The 20,897-nt window shown below is 41.0% G+C and overlaps 1 annotated feature.

The window, feature by feature from the left end:
- Positions 3,693–3,987: a silencer, noted in NCBI's record as "tiled region #7561; K562 Repressive DNase unmatched - State 12:CtcfO". NCBI's record gives its function as "represses a minimal TATA promoter and a strong SV40 promoter by Sharpr-MPRA in K562 cells {active_cell/tissue: K562}" and the evidence as "EXISTENCE:reporter gene assay evidence [ECO:0000049][PMID:27701403]".

Here is a 20,897-nt window from a genome sequence, read left to right as displayed (position 1 = left end):
GACAGCAGGACAGAAGGAGTTGGGTTGCGGAGCTGGAGGGGGCGGAGCTTCCCGGGTGGGCGAGGGAATGGGCGGAGGCAGTGGGAGAAGAAGGAGGAAGGCTGGAAGAAGCATGGGGGCGGGACTAGGAGGTGCGTCTGGGCGCTGAGGAGCGGCGGGAACCCGGGTAGGGGAAGGTAGACCCCTGGAAATTGAACGGGTGTCTCCACGCCGAGATTCCTGTCCAGTGACTGTGGGGAATGCGGATTTCTTTCTTTTTTTCTTCAGAAAAAGTATTTTAAACTAACTTTTATGTTGAAAAAGTAAAAATTTTGCGCTCCACTTTGGGATAGGGGAATCAGTAAATCAGACAAATTGATAGGATCTTGCAGTTTTTAAAATGGTTATTAATAAGTAAAAGAAGAATGAAATTATGCGGTATCCCAGCTAAACCTAGGTAGCGCTTTAAAAACTATTAAAAAACTTACTCATTTCTTTAAAAAAAAAAAAAAATTTCAGGCCGGGCGTGGTGGCTCATGCGTGTAATCCGAGCACTTTGGTAGGCCGAGGCGGGCAGATCACAAGGTCAGGAGTTCGAGACCAGCCTAGGCAACACAGTGAAACCCTGTGTCTACTAAAAATGAGAAAAGTAGCCGGGCCTGTAGTCCCAGCTACGCAGGAGGCTGAGGCAGGAGAGTCGCTTGAACCCGGGAGGCAGAGGTTGCAGTGAGCCGAGATTGCGCCACTGCACTCCAGCCTGGGCGACAGAGCAAGACTCTGTCTCAAAAAAAAAAAAAATCAATTTCTTTTATCCTGTGAGAGGTATTTAAAACAGCTAATCAATCTTCATTCAAGCAAGCACCCAATCCTAAATAGGCATCCCAAAAACAGCCTTAGTCCCCTATTTCTACCAGCCTAGTCCAGATCACCTTCCTTTATCCCCAGATTACTGCAACAACTTGTTGCTGTGTCCCTTTGCCACTCTTGATCAAGGGAGCTTCATCTGTGAAAACGCCCAAACCCGATCAGGACACTCCAGCGCTCAAACCCTTAAGATTGCTGCCTATCCTTGTAATTGATCCTTGTCTAGAGTCTAGACATGCAGTGCCTACTTTTAACCTTAGAAACGATTGACTAAAACCCCATCAGTCTCAGTGGCAGAGGGTGGCAGAAAGTGATGAGGCAGTAGGGTGGGAAAAAAGGCTAGCGGGAAAACTCTTTCCCATTCACTTGACAATATAATCACAGTGTATCTGACCATTTAGAAAAGCCCTATTAACCCAGTGAGATAATGCAGATGTGTGTCAGCACACTATGGCACTAGGGCCAAATCCAGTCTTTTGTGTGTGGGGTGGGGAGGGGAGGTGGGGAAAAGGGGAAGCAGGTGGGAAGACTGCCTTTTTTTTTTTTTTTTTTTGGCCTTGAGCTAAGAATGATTATTTCTGTTTTTAAATTATTATTTAAAATATTTTAAAGAATAATATGTGACAGGTTGGGCATGGTGGCTCACAGCTGTAATCCTAGCACTTTGGGAGGTCCAAGCAGGAGGATCGCTTGAGGCCAGGAGTTCAAGACCAGCCTGGGCAACACAGGGAGACCCCCGTCTCTACAAAAAATTTTAAAATTATCTGGGTATGGTGGTGCATGCCCCCTAGCTACTCTGGAGGCTAGGGTGAGAGGATTGCTTGAGCCTGGGAGTTCAAAGCTTCAGTGAGTCGTGATCTCCCCACTGCACTCCAGCCTGGGTGACAAAGCAAGTCCCTGAAAAAAAAAAAAAAAAAGAAAAAAAGAAAACAAAAGAAAGAAGGAGAGAGATGTGAAAACTATGTGAAATTCACACTTCAGTGACCTTAAACTAAGTTTTATTAGGACACAGCCCACACTTACTCATTTATGACTATTTTGCTCTGTAAGGGTAGAGTTGAGTAGTTGGGAGACAGAGACTATGTGTCCCACTCAGCTGGAGAATACATTTATTACTGGACCCTTTACAAGAAGAGTTTGCAGACCTGAGCTAACACATGTAATATAACCAGCATAGCGTGCATAAGTACCCTATGTTAACTGTTGTCCCCATTATTATAGCTGTCACTGTAGCTGCATATCAAATCCCCAAAATATTTCTTCTTCCAATCTATGTTTTTATGATGTCTTTGACTAGTAGCTGAAGAGTATAAAATATTGAGATGTTTTCTAATAATTAAATATTGAAGAGATGCTATTTGTGAGTTTATAATACACAGTTATCCATTTAAATCAATGTAGCATTTAAATGCCAAATAATTTATATACAGCAAATTAACTAGATTTTGATATCGCTGAACATTGATATCTCTCTTCAATACTATCTCCAACATCTCTCATGTTTGAAGATAATATATCCTAGAAGTAAAATACCTATCTAGTCTAAAAGAGAGTAAAATATTTGTTCCACTTGTTCAGCATTTATCTTAAAACAAAACAGTTCAAGAGGGTTGATGATGAGGACCACGCCCTCTAGCCTCTGGAAAGCCTGAGATGGGACTGTCTCCTCCCCAGATTTAAAACTGTCCTGCACCGTGTGCAGAGTAACCAAACTGTGCAGGAGAATTGTAAATCTGACAGCACAAAGAAGATGGAAGTGACACTCAGATGATTTTGCTTAAAGTCAGGTTTTGCTCCATTTGATAATTTGGAAAAATACTAGAAAACAGATCATTTGTTTGTTCATTCATTTGTAATATCAGGTTGGCTTGGAATCTCTTGATGTCCCATTGGAACCACGGCTTCATTTAATAATAAGCCATTGAAATGAATTTCAAAGGAAATAAACTTCACATTACATCTGATGTTTCAGGACAAATCACATGTTGACACAGATAAAAGTGCACACTTGTGAATCCTTTGATAAATTTTAATCAATAAAAAATGTAATAGGACACTAAGACTATTGGCCCTGAAATATTGAATTGCTGGAGCATGAGATTGTTCAGAAAGAAAACCTATTCAGCCTTCTAAAAGAACTATGTCGGTGGATGGGCATCCTCCATATTAATGACGTTATTTCCTTTGACTTAACAGTATGGCTGTTTTCTATTCTTTTTTTTTTTTTTTTTTTTTTTTTTTTTGTAAAACAGAGTCTCGCTCTATAGCCCAGGCTGGAGTGCAGTGGCATGGTCTTGGCTCACTGCAACCTCCATCTCCCAGGTTGAAGTGATTCTCCTGCCTCAGCCTCCCCAGTAGTTGGGACTACAGGCATGTGCCACCATGCCCAGCTAATTTTTGTATTTTTAGTAGAGAAGGAGTTTCACCATGTTGGCCAGGCTGGTCTTGAACTCCTGGCCTCAAGAGATCCACCTGCCTCGGCCTCCCAATCTTCAATTCTTAGGAAAACTAGTTGAAAGTACATTAAAACAAAAGTACTAACCCAGCAAAATCTGCTTTATGAAATATAAAATATATGAGGGTTGGGGTTTTTTGAGTAGTGATATTTCTCCCCTGTTGTCTAACATGTTTTCTCTAAAGTCTTGGCTCAGCCTATATTAATGTTGTCAATAACTAGTCAGATTAAACTGCAACAACTCAAGGTTATTGTCTGTTATTTCAGTTCTCAAAGGCACAGCATATCAAAACTATCAATGCTTGCAATTTTCCCCCTGAACCAATATATCAGGTATGTCAACCTAAAAACAAAAGATGTTGAAGTAACAGGTATATAAATTTATCTAGCCCAGAGTAGGTGCTCAGTGGTTGATTCCGAATCCAGTTTACAAAAATAAAGAGGCTTTCAAAAATCATTTGTAATATCCAAGCATCAAGAATTTCTTCTGTGGCCCCAGGTGCAACAATTGGCTTTGCCACATTGGGTCGCTGGTCGTCCATTCTTGTAATGATCCACCAGGACTTGTGATGCTGGATCCTCTCTACTTTCTTCACCAGCCCTGTCAGCACTCAGGTTATGGAATTTCAGCAGTCATTACAAAATGTTACATATCTTATCCTCTGTCTCAGCTTTTATTAAGTTCAGCATTGAAAAAAAAATGCAACTGCTGTTTATGCAAGCTAGGAAACAAATTCAGAAAATTATCATCCGTCAGGAAGAAATGACACAAAAATTTATGTACATTTAGAATTATTTTGTTTCATGCTGCAAAATATATAAAGTTGGCAGTAGTAAAAAGCAATTTTCAAAATAGACATTTTTGTGTGTATGAGGAGTCATTGTAAGCACCATCCTTTGCGTACTGAAGTTCCAAATGTATAACACTCATCCAAGCACTACTGAGATAAAAGATAAATACCTGGTATCATATATAGGGTTTTTCAACAATAGAAATATGATTGGTAAGATTCATACATGTTTGCCATCAGAATAGTAAGAGATCTATCCATTTCAATAATGTAACCTAGATCTATAAAGAAGCAAATAAAAGTATGTTTGGTCACAGCTGGTAACTTTATAACACACTAATAGGTTTGCTATGGTATTAACAATGGTCCTGAACAGACAAGAAAGTAAAGAAAAAAAGATGAGATGCTAAATTCTCGGTGAGTTGTACGAGTCTATATTGTTATTTCATTATCTTTAAAAAAAAAAAAAAACCTCTTCTTTGTTCATTCAATATAGCTTTTGGGGAAAATCACCATGTGAGTTAGCAATGCCAACATTTAATCAACTGGTGCTGTAAAGTGACACTGTGTCACTTGGGGCCACTTTTGGGCAAATCAGGGCTTCTCATTGATCTAGGTCAGTAGCAACACCATGTTGTAAGGCTGTTACACAGCTCGAGGAGCAATACTCTCCTGAGTCCAAGGTTCTTGCTAAGGATGGCTTCTTTGGAACACTTGAAACTGCTTTGGAATAGAAAGGATTTCATCGGCCACACGATAATAATGACCACAAATTACTGAACTTTATGTGCTATCATAGGAAAGACGCTTTATATACAATATTTTCCATTAATCGACTTATCCTTCTGAGGGTTTTGGCAGAAGAGGCCCAGAGATTTACCAGCTTGCCCAACATCACAAAGCTATTGAGAGTCAGGATTTGAAACTAGAGTTGTCTGAACCTACTGAGTATGCTGTTTCTACTTCAAGATAGCTTTCTCTTTCCACTTCCATGCTTCTAGTAAACTTGAAAAACAATCATTTCAATTATATATAATATATAATAATATAATCTGTATATATTATATATGTATATACACAGACATGTATGTAAATCTAAAGGTATAAAAAGATACAGAGAACTAAGTCTTCCCTTTTACCTGTATCCCTAGCCGTCTCCTCTTCAGGGTGGTTCTATGCTTATACAACTGATTATGTAGATATATTCCCCCTTCTCTATTTTTTCTGATCCAAATGTAACTCACAATACACTAGGGATCTTTAAGAAGCATTCTCGGGCCGGGCGCGGTGGCTCACGCCTGTAATCCCAGCAGTTTGGGAGGCCGAGGCGGGTGGATCACGAGGTCAGGAGATCGAGACCATCCTGGCTAACACGGTGAAACCCCGTCTCTACTAAAAATATAAAAAATTAGCCGGGCGTGGTGGCGGGCGCCTGTAGTCCCAGCTACGCGGGAGGCTGAGGCAGGAGAATGGCGTGAACCCGGGAGGCGGAGCTTGCACTGAGCCAAGATCACGCCACTGCACTCCAGCCTGGGCGACAGAGCAAGACTCCGTCTCAAAAAAAAAAAAAAAAAAGCATTCTCGGCTGGGCACAGTGACTCACACCTGTAATCCCAGCACTTTGGAAGGCCCTGGTGGGAGAACTGCTTGAGCCCAGGAGTTCAAGGCCAGCCTGGGCAGCACAGTGAGACCCCTGTCTCTACAAAAAGTAATAAAAAAAATTAGCCAGGCTGGTGGTGTATGCATGTAGTCCCAGCTATTTAAGAGGCTGAGGTGTGAGGATTACTTGAAGCTGGGAGGTCCAGGGTGCAGTGAGCCATGATCGCATCACTGCACTCCAGCCTAGGATACAGAGAGAAACGCTGTCTCAAAAAAAAAAAAAAAAAGCATTATTCTTTTTGGAAATCAATTTTAAAATATTTACTTTGGACATTTTTATTTTAATAATTTTAAATGGTATACATACGGCTAGAAACTGAAATGACACAACAGTGAAAAACAAAGCTCCCTTTCTCCTCTTTCAATCCTCCCAATTCCTCAGTTCCTCTCCCCAAATTGAACTACTGTTACCAGTTTCTTATGTAACCTTCCAGAGATAGTCTTTTCAAATAGAAACATATATTTATATTCCTTCCCCCCATTATTGTTATTTACATAACTGAACAAGTGATTTTGTACTTGACTTTGTTTACTTAACAGTATTATCTTGGAGGTCAGTCCATGTCAACCTGTATAATTCTTATTCCTTTTAACATCAGCACAGAATTCTATTACCTGTATATGCCATGATTTATTTCACCAGTTCTCTATTGAAGAGACATTTAAGTTGTTTCTAGTCTTTTACTATTACAAAGAATGCTGTAATGACTATTCTTTTCTTTGCGCATATATGAGAGTTTTTGTGCAGGATGAATTAGCAGAAGAGACTTTGCTGGGTCACAGGGTATATACATTTTTAATTGTAATGGTCATTGCCAAATTACACAGGACTTAAACAATTTACATTTCCCCAATAATATGTTTGGGAGTACACTTTTTCCTCCAACTCTCACCAACACAGAACTTTTTTAAACTTCTGTTAAGATGGAGCTTTTATATAAGATGTTTTGTTCATTCATTAGCTGTTTAGGTAGAGCCTGTGATTTACTGTTCGTACCAACAACAGTGCACCAGATCCAAGAGTGCATTTTGGGGGGCTCTAAGACTGGATGAAAAAAGAAGCAGAATAATTTACAAGCAAAACTTCTGATCTGCTAACTTTTTGACCTTCTGCTCTAAGCCTGGCACCAGGGAAACTAGGTGAAATAAGCCATGCTTTCACTCAAGGGCTATAACAGTTCTCCCATTAATGTGAAAGTGGCTGCTAGCACATTCCAGTTGCTACTTGAAGAATGGATCCCAAATATCCACTTAGGCTGAGGCTTCCACCAATGCTTGAGAAGATGTGGGTGGTGACTACACAATTCCTTCTTCCATTTAAAGTTGTTTCTCTCCACCCTGACACATGATTAAAACAATAGTAAACAAAAGAAAAGTCATTTGCCACACCTAACATGTAGTATGCGCTACATTTCTAACCAGGGATTGGTTATAGAGTTTGTTTTGTTTTGTTGGAATGAAGGAAAAAGGCATTTCTTTTGTTCTTTTGTTTTTTGTTTTTTTTTTTTTTGAGACGGAGTCTTGCTCTGTCGCTCAGGCTGGAGTGCAGTGGCGTGATCTCTGCTCACTGCAAGCTCTGCCTCCCGGGTTCACACCATTCTCCTGCCTCAGCCTCCCGAGTAGCTGGGACTACAGGCGCCCGCCACCACGCCTGGCTAATTTTTTGTATTTTTAGTAGAGACGAAGTTTCACCATGTTAGCCAGGATGGTCTCGATCTCCTGAACTTGTGATCCGCCCACCTCAGCCTCCCAGAGTGCTGGCATTACAGGCATGAGCCATCGCGCCCAGCCCTTATTTTTTTTAAGCAGGAGGTGGAGGGAGGTGGGAAAGTTTTTTTCTTTCTTTTTTTTTTTTTTTTTTTTAGGAAAAATCTATGAGAAGCAGGGAGATTATTATTTTTATTTTCCCCCTCTTACTAACCACTATACAAATGAGAAGGGATTAATTATTAGTTATGAAAATCATTGGTCTTTGCAAAATTATTCAAATAAATGCCAGTTACCAGCTCTACCTAAACTGACTGGACGAAAGCCTATATTTAAGCTTACTATTGTGTTTGTTAATTTCTAATAAAACCTGCTCCCCAAATGGTCATAATCCAGAAGGAAAAACTAAATTATTGAAGAATTTGAGCATTAAATTAGGCCATAATCAGCCTATCGTGCCTACTTGATATTACGAAGTTAGCATTGTTGAGTGCACACTCTCCTTGCCACTCCTCCCCTTACCTCATATAACCTAGAGAATCATGTTATGATACTCTAGGATCACTCACCTTGGATATCAACTGTCAGACTTTGATAAACTCCCACAGGGATTTAAAAGCCTCTGTACTATCTGTGGTATGCCAGATCCAGAAGCACATAGGGACTCTAGACTGGATGACAAAAGCAAGAAGAATAATTTACAAGTAGAACCTGTGATCATTCCATATACACTTGACCCTTGAACAACATGGATTTGAACTGTGCAGTTTCAAAATATGTGATTTTGTTTGTTTATTTGTTTTTTGCTTTTTTGAGACAGGGTCTCACTCTGTTGTCTAGGCTGGAGTGCAGTGGCGTGGTCTCTGCTCACTACAACCTCTGCCTCCCGAGTTCAAGTGATTCTCCTACCTCAGCCTCCCAAATAGCTGGGATTACAGGCGTGTGCCCTCACGTGCAGCTAATTTTTTTTTTGTATTTTTAGTAGGGACGGATTTTTGCTATGTTGACCAGGCTGGTCTTGAACTCCTGACCTCAAGTGATCCACCTGCCTCCGCCTTCCAATGTGCTGGGATTACAGGTGTGAGCCACCACACCTGGCCATGAATTTTTTTCAATAAATATATTGGAAAATTTTTATCAGTGACAGTTTCAAAAGACTGACAAATGAACTGCATAGCCTAGACATATCCAAAAAGTTAAGAAAAAGGCATGTCATCAATGCATAAGATATATGCAGTTACCAGCTATCATTCACTAACGTAATACACAAATCTATTATAAAAAGTTAAAATTTATAAGAACTTATTATACACACAAACAGATCTTACATGGGCCCCATTCACAGTCAAGAGAAATAAAACAAATGTAAAAATGCAGTATTAGGCTGGGCAATGTGGCTCACGCCGGTAATCCCAGCACTTTGGGAAGCTGAGGCGGGCAGATTGCCTGAGCTCAGGAATTCGTGACCAGCCTGGGCAACAAGGTGAAACCCCATCTCTACTAAAAATGCAAAAAAATTAGCTGGGTGTGGTGGCAGGCGCCTGTAGTCCCAGCTACTCCGGAGGCTGAGGCAGGAGAATCGCTTGAATCTGGGAGGTGGAGGTTGCAGTGAGCTGAGATTGCACTGCTGCACTCCAGTCTGGGCGACAGAAAGAGACTCCATCTCAAAAAAAACCCAAAAAACCAGATTGTGTATTTATAGAGTATGTTGTTATTTTATTAAAAGTTATGTGTAAAAATTATACAAATAAAACTGTGTGTAACTACATAATTATATATAATTATTATATATTATGTGTGTAACTACATGTAATTATATATTAAAATATAGTTATATATGTCTATATGTAAAATTATATCTATATCTTTATATAGATAAGCAGATAATATAAGCAAAGGAAAAAAGCCTGATGTAATATGTACCGAAATGTTAGCCTAAGGACTAAAACCTCAACCTGGGATTGTAAAAGCTTTTCTTAGTATAAAAGTTTAAATTTTTTTTTTTTTTTTTTTTTTTGAGACAGAGTCTCACTCTGTCACCCAGGCTGGAGTGCAGTGGTGCGATCCTGGCTAACTGCAACCTCTGCCTCCCAGGTTCAAGCAGTTCTCCTGCCTCAGCCTCCTGAGTAGCTGGGACTACAGATGCCTGCCACCATGCCCGGCTCATTTTTGTATTTTTAGTAGAGACAGGCAGGGTTTCACCATATTGGCCAGGCTGGTCTCGAACTCCTGACCTCAGGTGATCAGCCCACCTCGGCCTCCCAAAGTGCTGAGATTATAGGCGTGAGCCACCATGCCTGGCCTAAATGTTTTTTAAAAAGCAATCATCTTAAAACAAATTTATGGTACAAAATGAAACATTTTAAAATGTACATATTACTAGTTATATACAATCACTTTTGTCTCTTTCTTTTCAATGCTCGTCTGTACTTTATACTTGTCAAAATTTACATATTTTCCTAGTTTTCTTTGCTTTATTCCTGTTGTATGCTCAGGGTCAGCAGCTTGCAATAAACCACAGTTTAAAAAATAATATTAGGCTGGGCCGGGCGCGGTGGCTCACGCCTGTAATCCCAGCACTTTGGGAGGCCAAGGCGGGCGGATCACGAGGTCAGGAGATGGAGACCATCCTGGCTAACATGGAGAAACCCCGTCTTTACTAAAAATACAAAAAAAAATTAGCCGGGTGTGGTGGCGGGCGCCTGCAGTCCCAGCTACTCGGGAGGCTGAGGCAGGAGAATGGCGTGAACCCGGGAGTCGGAGCTTGCAGTGAGCCGAGATCGTGTCACTGTACTCCAGCGTGGGCGACACAGCGAGACTCCGTCTCAAAAAAAAAAAAAAAAGGCTGGGCACAGTGGCTCACGCCTGTAATCTCAGCACTTCTGGAGGCCAAGGTGGGCGGGTGATCACCTGAGGTTAGGAGTTCGAGAGCAGCCTGACCAACATGGTGAAACCCCATCTCTACTAAAAATACAAAAATTAGCCTTGTGTGGTGGCGGACGCCTGTAATCCCAGCTACTTGGGAGGCTGAGGTAGGAAAATCGCTTGAACCTGGGAGGCAGAGGTTGCAGTGAGCCAAGATCACACCATTGCACTCCAGCCTGGGTGACAGAGCAAGACTCTGTCTCAAAAAAAAAAAAAAATTAGATAAAAGTTGTGATTATGATCTTAGTGATAATAATGTAAAATAGAGCAAGTTTAGGTAAAATTTCTAAAAATAAGCTTTCTTGGGGAAAACCAACACACTCACAAATGTTACTCTCAAGTGTTACTCAAGAACCTTTCAGAAGGGATATCATGTGGAATCCTTCAGAATCTCTTTGTTTGTATGTCCCTGGAGACAGACACCAAAAACTTCCAGGAGCATTGCTACTCTGTGTTTCTTACTACAGCCCAATTGGCACAATGGGAACAACTCTGATGCTTTTAATAGCTGTAAGAACTACAGTTGACCCTTGAACAATGCAGGGGTTAGGGTTAGCCTAAGTTAACTACTAACAGCTTTCTGATGACTATTTATGGATAATGTAAATAGTTGATTAACACATATTTTATATGCTTGTACTGTATTCTTACAATAAATTAACCTAGAGAAAAGAAAATGTAATTAAAAAAATCTTAAGGAAGAGAAAAATACGTTTACAGTACTGTAAATGTATTTATAGACACTGTAGATTTATGTCATCTGTTTACAAGATGAATTGTATGCCTGAAATAGCGGGCAACTGCAGCTGCAGGCCTCAATCTCCAGTACATATCAAGTAATCCAACTTCTGCACTGCAGCCTGGGCGACAGAGGGAGGCTTCATCTCAAAAAAAAAAAAAAAAGGAATGGCTCACTTTTTTAAAATAGCCCCAGAACTCATAGGAACTGTTTTTTTGTTTTTGTTTTTTATTTCCAGAAAACCTAATATTCTTCTGACTTCTCTAGTACGTGGATGGGCCTGCTTGTTCTTTTTCCATCTATGTCAGGAAAACTGCTCAAAACCAAAGTAGAGTTGGGGGTAGCTGCTGCCTGGGACTTGGTCCCCTTACTCTGGTATGCTCCAGCTGCCTGGAACTGAGCTGAATTTCTCAGGCTCTGAGTTGAATTCTTTTATCTCCTTATTTGTTTCACGTTCTTCTTCTTTATTTATTTATTTTTTAAAATTGAGACAGGGTCTCGCTGTGTCACCCAGACTGGAGTGCAGTGGCATGATCACAGCTCACTGTGAACTACAGGCATGCACCACCACCACCACGCCCTGCTAATTTGTTATTGTTGTTGTTGTAGAGACAGGGTCTCTATATATTGCCCAGGTTGGTCTCACACTCCTGGGCTCAAGCAGTCCTCCTTCCTTGGCTTCCCAAAGTGCTAGGATTACAGGCATCAGCTACTGTGTCCTGCTATCTCCTCATGCTGACTAGCATACTAGAGGACCCTGCCTGGGGTCCTGCCTGGCCTGGCTCTCCCCACACAGCCTACCCATGGCTCCACCTGTGTCCCTGCCTTATTTGGATTTGATTTTTGTATATGGTGAGAGATACGGGTCTAGTTTCATTCTTCTATATATGGATATCCAGTTTTTCCAGCACTGTTTATTGAAGACACTGTCTTTTCCTCAATCTATGTTCTTGGCACTTTTGTTGAAAATGAGTTCACCATGGCTGTATGGATTTATTTCTGGATTCTCTATTCTGTTCCATTGATCTATGTGTCTATTTTATGGCAGTACCATGTTGTTTGTGTTACTATAGCTCTGAGGTATAATTTGAAACCAGGTAATGTGACTCCTCTAGTTTTATTCTTTTTGCTCAGGATAGATTTGTCTCTTCTTGGTCTTTTGTGGTTTCACATAAATTTTAAGATTGTCTTTTCTTTTCTTTTTTCTTTCTTTTTTTTTTTTTTTTGAGATGGAGTTTTGCTCTTATTGCCCAGGCTGTAGTGCAATGGCACGATCTCGGCTCACCACAACCTCTGCCTCCTGGGTTCAAGCAATTCTCCTGCCTCAGCCTCCTGAGTAGTGGGGATTACAGACATGGGCCACCATGCCTGGCTAATTTTGTATTTTTAGTGGAGATGGGTGTTTCCCCATGTTGGTCAGGCTGGTCTCGAACTCCCGACCTCAGGTGATCTGCGTGCCTCGGCCTCCCAAAGTGCTGGTATTACAGGCATGAGCCACCGCGCCCGGCCAGGATTGTCTTTTCTATGTCTGTGAAGAATATTGTTTGTATTTTGATAGGGATTGCATTGAATCTGTAGATTGCTTTTGGGTAGAATGGAATTTTAGCAAAATTGATTCTTCCAATTCATGAACATGGAATATCTTTCTATATTTTGTGTCCTCTTCAATTTCTTGCATAAATGTTTTATAGTTTTCATGGTAGAAATCTTTCATTTTGGTTAACTCCTGGGTATTTAATTTTATTTGTAGCTATTATAGATGGGATTACTTTTTAATTTCTTTTTCAGATCATTTGCTGTTGGCATATAGAAATGCTATGATTTTTATATGTTGATTTTATATCCTGAAACTTTACTGAATTTGTTTATCAGTTCACATAGTTTTTTGGTGGAGTCTTTAGATTTTTCCAAATATAAGATTATATCATCTGTAAACAAGGGTAATTTGACTTCTTTCATTCCCATTTGGATGCCTTTTATTTCTTTTTCTTGTCCAATGTTTCTATGTTGATTTTCTGTCTGGATGTTCTGTGCAATGATGCAAGAGGGATGCTGAAGTCTCCAGCTATTATTCTGTTGGGGTCTATCTCTCTCTTTTGCTCTAATAATGTTTGCTTTACATAATCTTGGTGCTCCACTGTTGGGTGCATATATATTTACATCTGTTATATCCTCTTGCTTAATTAACTCCTTTATAATTATATGATCACCTTCTTTGTCTCTTTTTATAGTTTTTGTCTTGAAATCTATTTTGTCTGCTACAGTGATTCTCACTCTTCTTTTGGTTTCCATTTGCATGGAATATTTTTTTCCATCCTTTATTTACAGTCTATGTGCATCTTTATAGGTGAAGTGTGTTTCTTGTAAACAGATCATGGGGTTTGCTTTTTTTAGAAAAATGCATTCAGTCACTCTATGTCTTTTGATTGGAGAGCTTATTCCATTTACATTCAGTTATTATTGATAAGTAAGGACTTACTCCTATAATTTTGGTATTTGTTTTCTGGTTGTTTTGTAGTTACTCTTCTTTTCTTCCTTCCTATTTTCCTTTTAGTGAAAGTGATTTTCTCTGATGACATATTTTAATTTTTTTTGCTTTTTATTTTTATGTGTTCATTGTATGTTTTGAGGTTACCATGAGGCTTGTAAATAGTATCTTATAACCCATTACTTTAAACTCATGATAACTTAACACTGATACCATAAACAAATTAACAATGAGCAAAAATAAAATTAATAAAATCTCTGTAGTTTAACTTTATCTCCCCACTTTTTAACTTTTTGTTGTTTCTGTTTATATTTTATTATACTATCTATGTCTTTAAAGTTGTTGCAGTTATTTTTGGTGGTTTCACCTTTTAGTCTTTCTACTTAAGATATGAGTAATTTACACATCACAATCACAATGTTATCATATTCTGTGTTTTTCTGTGTACTTACAATTACCAATGAGTTTTGTATCTTCAGATGATTTCTTATTGTTCATTAACATCATTTTCTTTCAGATTGAAGAACTCCCTTTAGCATTTCTTATAGGACAGGTCTGGTGTTGATGAAATCCCTCAGCTTTTGTTTGTCTGAGAAAGTCTTTATTTCTCTTTCATGTCTGAAAGCTATTTTCACCTGATCTACTATTCTAGGGTAAAAGTTTTTTTCCTTCAGCATGTTAAATATGTCATGTCACTCTCTCCTGGCCTATAAGGTTTCCACTGAAAAGTCAGCTGCCAGACGTATTAGAGCTCCATTGTGTGCTATTTGTTTCTTTTCACTTGCTGCTTTTAGGATCCTTTCTTTATCCTTGACCTTTGGGAGTTTGATTATTAAATGCTTTGACATAGTCTTCTTTGTGTTAAATCTTCTTGGTGTTCTACAACCTTCTTATACTTAAATACTGATATCTTTCTCTGGGTTTGGGATATCCTCTGCTATTATCCCTTTGAATAAACTTTCTACCCCTATCTCTCTCTCTATTTTCTCTTTAAGGCCAATAACTCTTAGAGTTGCCCTTTTGAGGTTATTTTCTAGCTGTTGTAGGCATGCTTCATTCTTTTTATTCTTTTTTCCTTTGTCTCCTCTGACTATATATGTTCAAATAGCCTATCTTCAAGCTCACTAATTATTTCCTCTGCTTGATTGATTCTGCTACTAAGAGACTCTGATGTATTCTTCAGTATGTCGATTGCATTTTTTCAATGCCAGATCTTCTGCTTGGTTCTTTTTTTTTTTTTTTGTGACAGGGTCTCACTCTGGAGTACAATGGCATGATCATGGCTCATTGCAGCCTTGACCTCCTGGGCTCAAGCAATCCTCCCACCTCAGCCTCCCAAGTAGCTGGGACTACGGGTCACTGTAGTGCATCACCATGCCCAGCTAATTTTTGTATTTTTTGTGAAGATGGGGTTTCACCATGTTGCCCAGGCTGGTCTTAAACTCCTGAGCTCAGGCAAGATCCACTCATCTTGGCCTCCCAAAGTGCTGGGATTACAGATGTGAGCCAGCATGCCTGGCTTTGATTCTTTTTAATTATTTCAATCTCTTTGTTAAATTTATCTGAGAGGATTCTGAATTCCTTCTATGTGTTATCTGGAATTTCTTTGAGTTTCCTCAAAACAGCTATTTTGAATTCTCTCTCTGAAAGGTCACATATCTCTGTCTCTTCAAGCTTGGCCCCTGGTGCCTTATTTAGTTTGTTTGGTGAGGTCATGTTTTCCTGGATAGTCCAAATGCTTGTGGATGTTCATTGGTGTCTGGGCATTGAAGAGTTAGGTATTTATTGTAGTCTTTGCAGTCTGGGCTTGTTTGTATTCCTCCTTCTTGGGAAGGCATTCCAGGTATTCAAAGAGACAGAGACTTGGGTGTTGTGATCTAAGTTTTTGCTTACTGCAGTTGTATATGCATTTGGGGCTCCAAGCCCATTAATGCTGTGGTTCTTAAAGAGTAGAGGTACTGCCTTCATGATCTTTGATAAGACCTGCAAGAATTCTCTGGATTACCAGGGAGAGACTTGTTCTCTTCCCTTACTTTCTCCCAAGCAAGTGGAGCTGCTCTCTGTGCAGACCTGCCTGGAGCTGGGGGAGGGGTGACACAAGGACACCTGTGGCCACCAGCACTGGGACTGTGCTGAGTCAGACCTGAAGCCGGCAAGCATGGGCCTCAACCAAGGTCCGCTGTAACCACTACCTGTCTACCCTGTTTGCTCAAGGCCCCAGGTCTCTGCAATCAGCAGATGGCAAAGCCAGCCAGGCTTGTGTCCATCCCTTAAGGGCAGCAAGTTCCCCTGGGCCCTGGGCAGGTCCAGAGATGTTGTCCAGGAGCCAGGGCCTAGAGCCAGAAATCTTAGAACTCTACCTGGTGCTCTATTGTACTGCAGCTGAGCTGGTACAGAAACCACAAGACAAAGTCCTTCCTATTCTTCCCTCCCCTTTCCCCAGGTGGAGGAATTTCTCCCCATGTCCACCACCACCACAGGCCCACAGGAAGTACTTCCAGGGTGTAGCTGATATTCACTTAAGGCCCAAGAGCTCTTCAGTTAGCTTGTGGTGGATGCTGCCAGGCATGGGACTCACCGCTGTGGACAGTGGGCTGTCCTCTGGCCCAGAGTAGGTACAGAAATGCCACCCAAAAGCCAAGGGCTGGAACTGGGGACCCCGAGAGCCTGTTTGATGCTTTTCCTCAGTGTGGCCAAGTTGGTACCTAAGCTCCAAGACAAAGTGCCCTTTCTTCTTCCCTCTTCTTTTCTCAAGCAGAAGGAGTCTATCCTTGTTGCCACCATAGCTGTGAATATGTTGGCTCACATCTGAAGCCAGTACATCTCAGTGTCTTACCCAAGGTCCATAGTGTGTACTACCTGGTTAATGCTGCTAATTATTTGGGGCCCAAAGACTCTTTAGTCTGCAGGTGATAAATCCTGCCACGACTGAGTCCTTCCCTTCAAGACTGTGGGTTCCCTTCTGGCCCAACATGTGTCTAGAAATGTTATCCAGGAGCTGGGATGAGGGAGGTGCGGTGTCAGCAATTCAAGACTCTTTCCTACCCTCTTCAGTAACTCTTTCAGTGATATGAATTTAAAACCAGGTACTGTGATTGCTCACATGATTTTTTGGTTCTTATGAAGGTGCTTTTATGTGTAGATAATTGTTCAATTTGGTGTTCCTGCAAGGAGGATAATCGGTGAAGGATTCTATTTGTCTATCTTGCTCCACTTTCCTCAATATTTTTTCATGTTCTGAAAACTTGTTATATGCCAGGTATACTATTCGGTGTTCTATATATGTAACTCCAGTATTAAGACACTTACTGTGGAGGAATAAGTCCATTTCAAATGATTTTACTCTTAGCCTATAAACCACACCCATGAAATTCTGAGAAATACGAATTTAGGACTTTTACTTAAGTTCAAGTATTATATTCTAACTCTCACAGAGTCCATAGAACTAAGAAATGAGTGCAAAGGTATCAGAAACTTGGAGGTAGCTTCTCTAGTCCTTTCAACTTATCTCTAGTTCTGTTCAGGGGACCTTTTATCCTGGACAGTGGGACCACATTACATGGTCACCTCCATGGCTGGCTAAGAGTATCTTCCAGGGTGCTGTCCACATTTGAGCTGTGTCCACTCCTTTTATCTCTTCACTCCCAAGCTCTTCACTCACCTCCTCTGCTGTCCAGCCACCAGCCTAGGAGCCAGACATTCTTTCTGGTTCCACTGCTGGAAGGAAGATGGGGGAGGAGACAAGTATCAGTAAGTCTTTGTGGCGGTCTGGTCTCAGGTTGGCACATCTGCAGGCAATCAGACTTTTTATATTTTAATGGTCAATACTCTCTTTGTTAATACTAAAAGAGAGTGTTTATATTCTTCCCAGTCTTAAGTCACATTACAAAAGGCTTTCATCATTATGGATGTGTCTGACTCACAGGAGTGTGGGAGAAAAAGAAAATCTGAATCCTCACATTAAATGCTCACACTGAATCTTCACAGAGCCCTTGAAAAAGAGGCACAGTTGATTCTCATTATTCATGGTAACCAGAAAGTCACCATGAACACAGACTGACTCAGTGAGTACTGAATCATTGTTTAGTATTGTTTAGTTCAGAATACTGAACCTAGGGACCACACAGGGTTAGGTTCCTCTAAGCTTCTGGTCACAATATGTTCATCAACCAATCAGTACAAAATATTGTTTTATGTTCGTTTTTGTTTGTTTTTGTTTAATGACATTGTCTTAGTTCATTTTCTGTTGCTTATAACAGAATTCTAAAATTGGATAACTTATTTTTAAAGGAGTTTCTTCTTTTTTTTTTCGAGATGGAGTCTCACTCTGTCACCCAGGCTGGACTGCAGTGGCGCAATCTCAGCTCACTGCAACCTCCACCTCCTGGGTTCAAGCGATTCTCCTGTCTCAGCCTCCCAAGTAGCTGGGACACAGGTGCACACCACCACGCCCAGCTAATTTTTGTATTTTTAGTAGAGACAGCGTTTCACCATATTGGTCAGGCTGGTCTCGAACTCCTGACCTCAGGTGATCCACCCACCTCGGCCTCCCAAAGTGCTGGGTTTACTGGCGTGAGCCACTGCATCAGGAGTTTATTTCTTATAATTATGGAGACTGACAAGTCCAAGGTCAAGAGGACACATTTGGTGAGGGCCTTCTTGCTGGTGGGGACTCTCTACAGAGTACCAAGGTGGCACAGGGCATCACATGGTGAGGGGGCTGAGTGGGCTAGCTCAGATCTCCCTTCCTCCTTTAAATCCCACTCTGTGACAACTAATTAATCAATTAACCCATTAATCCATAAATGGATAAATTCATAAGGACAGAGCCCTCATGTCCCAATTATGTCTTTTTTTTTTCTTTTCAAGACAAGGTCTTGCTCTGTCATCCAGACTGCAGTACAGTATATCATCTTGGCTCACTGCACCCTCAAACTCCTGGCCTCAAGAGATCCTCCCAGCTCAGCCTCCCAAGTAGCCAGGACTACATATGTCACCACGCCCAGCTAATTTTTGTATTTTTGGTAGAGACAGGGTCTCACTGTGTTGCCCAGGCTGGTCTCAAACTCCTAGCCTGAAGCAGTCCTCCCGCCTTGGCCTCCCAAAGTTCTGGGATTACAGACATGAGCCATTACACCCAGCCTCATTCACCTCTTAAGGTCCTACCTCTCAATACTACCACACTGGGGGTTGTTTCAACATGAGTTTTGGAGAGGACAAACATTCAAACCATAGCAGAATAATCATAGCATAAGTATTGTTGATTCATTAACATTGAACTCATGCCTGACAGCACTATACCTCATGCCTGAACAAAGCTTATGTAACACTTATCTGCACTCCCATGTCTTTTGCAGCACTATTCACAACAGTCAAAATATAGAATAAAACTAAGTGTCCATCGACAGATAAATGGATACAGAAAATGTGATATATATACATAATGGAATACTATTCAGACATTAAAAAGATGAAATTCTAGGCTGGGTGCAGTGGCTCACGCCTGTAATCCTAGCACTTTGGGAGGCCGAGGCAGGCAAATCACCTGAGGTCAGGAGTTCGAGACCAGCCTGACCAACATGGAGAAACCCTGTCTCTACTAAAAATACAAAATTAGCTGGGTGTTGTGGTGCATGCCTGTAATCCCAGCTACTTAGGAAGGCTGAGGCAGGAGAATTGCTTGAACCTGGGAGGCAGAGGTTACAGTGAGCCAAGATCGTGCCATTGCACTCTAGCCTGGGCAACAAGAGCGAAACTCCATCTCAAAAAAAAAAAAAAAAGATGAAATTCTGTCATTTATAGCAACATAGATGGAACTGGAGGTCATTATGTTGAGTGCAATAAGCCAGGCACAGAAAGACAAATATCACATGTTCTCACTCATATGTGGGAGCTTAAAAAGTTGATCTCATGGAGGTAGAGAGTAGATGATGGCTACCAGAGGTTGGGAAGGGTAGAGGGGAGGTGATGAAGAGAAGCTGCTTTCCCAGTACAATTTGAAGGATTCTGAAAGCTTGCTTGTCTCTAAATGTATCCTTTATTAGTACGATTTGGATATTTGTCCCTTCCAAATCTCATATTGAAATGTGATTCCCGTTTTGGAGGTGGGACCTGGCGGGAAGTGTTTGGATCATGAAGACTGGTCCCTCAAGGGCTTAGCGCTACCCTCTCAGTAGTGAGAATTCTCACTCTGTGTTCATGCAAGATCTGTTTTTATGTTGTTGTTTTTTTTTTAAGAGCGTGCCATCTCCCACATTACTTGCTCTTGCTCTCACCATGTGATACGCCTGCCACCTTCTTCCATAATTGTAAGGTTCTTAAGGCCTCACCAGGGATGCTGATGCCATGCTTCCTTACAGCCTGCAGAGCCGTGAACTAATTAAATATATTTTATTTATAAATTACCCAACCTCAGGTCCCTTCCCTTCCCTTCACTTTCCTTCCTTCCTTTTCCTTTCTTTTCCTCCCTCCCTTCTCTGCCTCTCTTTCTTTCTCTTTCTTTCTTTCTTTCCTCTTTCTCTCTTTCTTACTTTCTCCTTCTTTCCTCTCTCTTTCCTTCCTTCCTTCCTCTCTCCTTCTTTTCTCTTTTCTTTTCCTTTCCTTTCCTTTCTTTTTTTTCCTTCATTCCCTCCTTCCTTCCTTCCTTCTTTCCTTCCTCTCTCTCTTTCTTTTCTTTCCTTTTCTTTTTTTCCTCCCTCCCTCCCTTCCTTCCTTCCTTCCTTCTTTTCTTTCTTTCAAGAGGGTCTCACTTTATTGCCTTGGCTGGAGTACAGTGGCATGACCATGGCTCACAGCAGCCTCAACCTTCCAGGCTGAAGAGATCCTCCCATCTCAGCCTCCTGAGTAGCTGGGACAACAGGTGCACACCACCACACCCAGCTAATTTTTAAGTTTTTTGTAGAGACAAAGTCTTGCTATGTTTCCAGGGCTGGTCTCAAACTCTTGGGCTCAAGAGATCCTCCTGCCTCAGCCTCCCAAAGTGCTAGAATTACAGGTGTGAGCTACCGCACCCAGCCACGTATTCCATTATAGCAATGCAAACAGGATAACATATTCATCCATCTACATAATGCTTAAATGAAATCTCTTCTAAAATCCTACTATTTAAAAGCCTATCTCAGCAGGCATTGCCTGGAAATGGTAAAGAGGAGAGGCAAATATCTATGGTAAGAGTTGAATGGTGTTAGGAACTAGTCACTATGGTTTGGGTATTTGTCCCCTCCAAACCTCATGTTGAAATTGGATTCTCAATGTTGCAGTTGGGGCCTAATGGGAGGTGTTTGGGTCATG

Source organism: Homo sapiens, chromosome 3 (assembly GCF_000001405.40).
Source record: "Homo sapiens chromosome 3, GRCh38.p14 Primary Assembly".
NCBI lineage: Eukaryota > Metazoa > Chordata > Mammalia > Primates > Hominidae > Homo > Homo sapiens.
The sequence above is the reverse complement of the archived record's forward strand: the minus strand, read 5'-3'. Positions and strand labels throughout refer to the sequence as shown.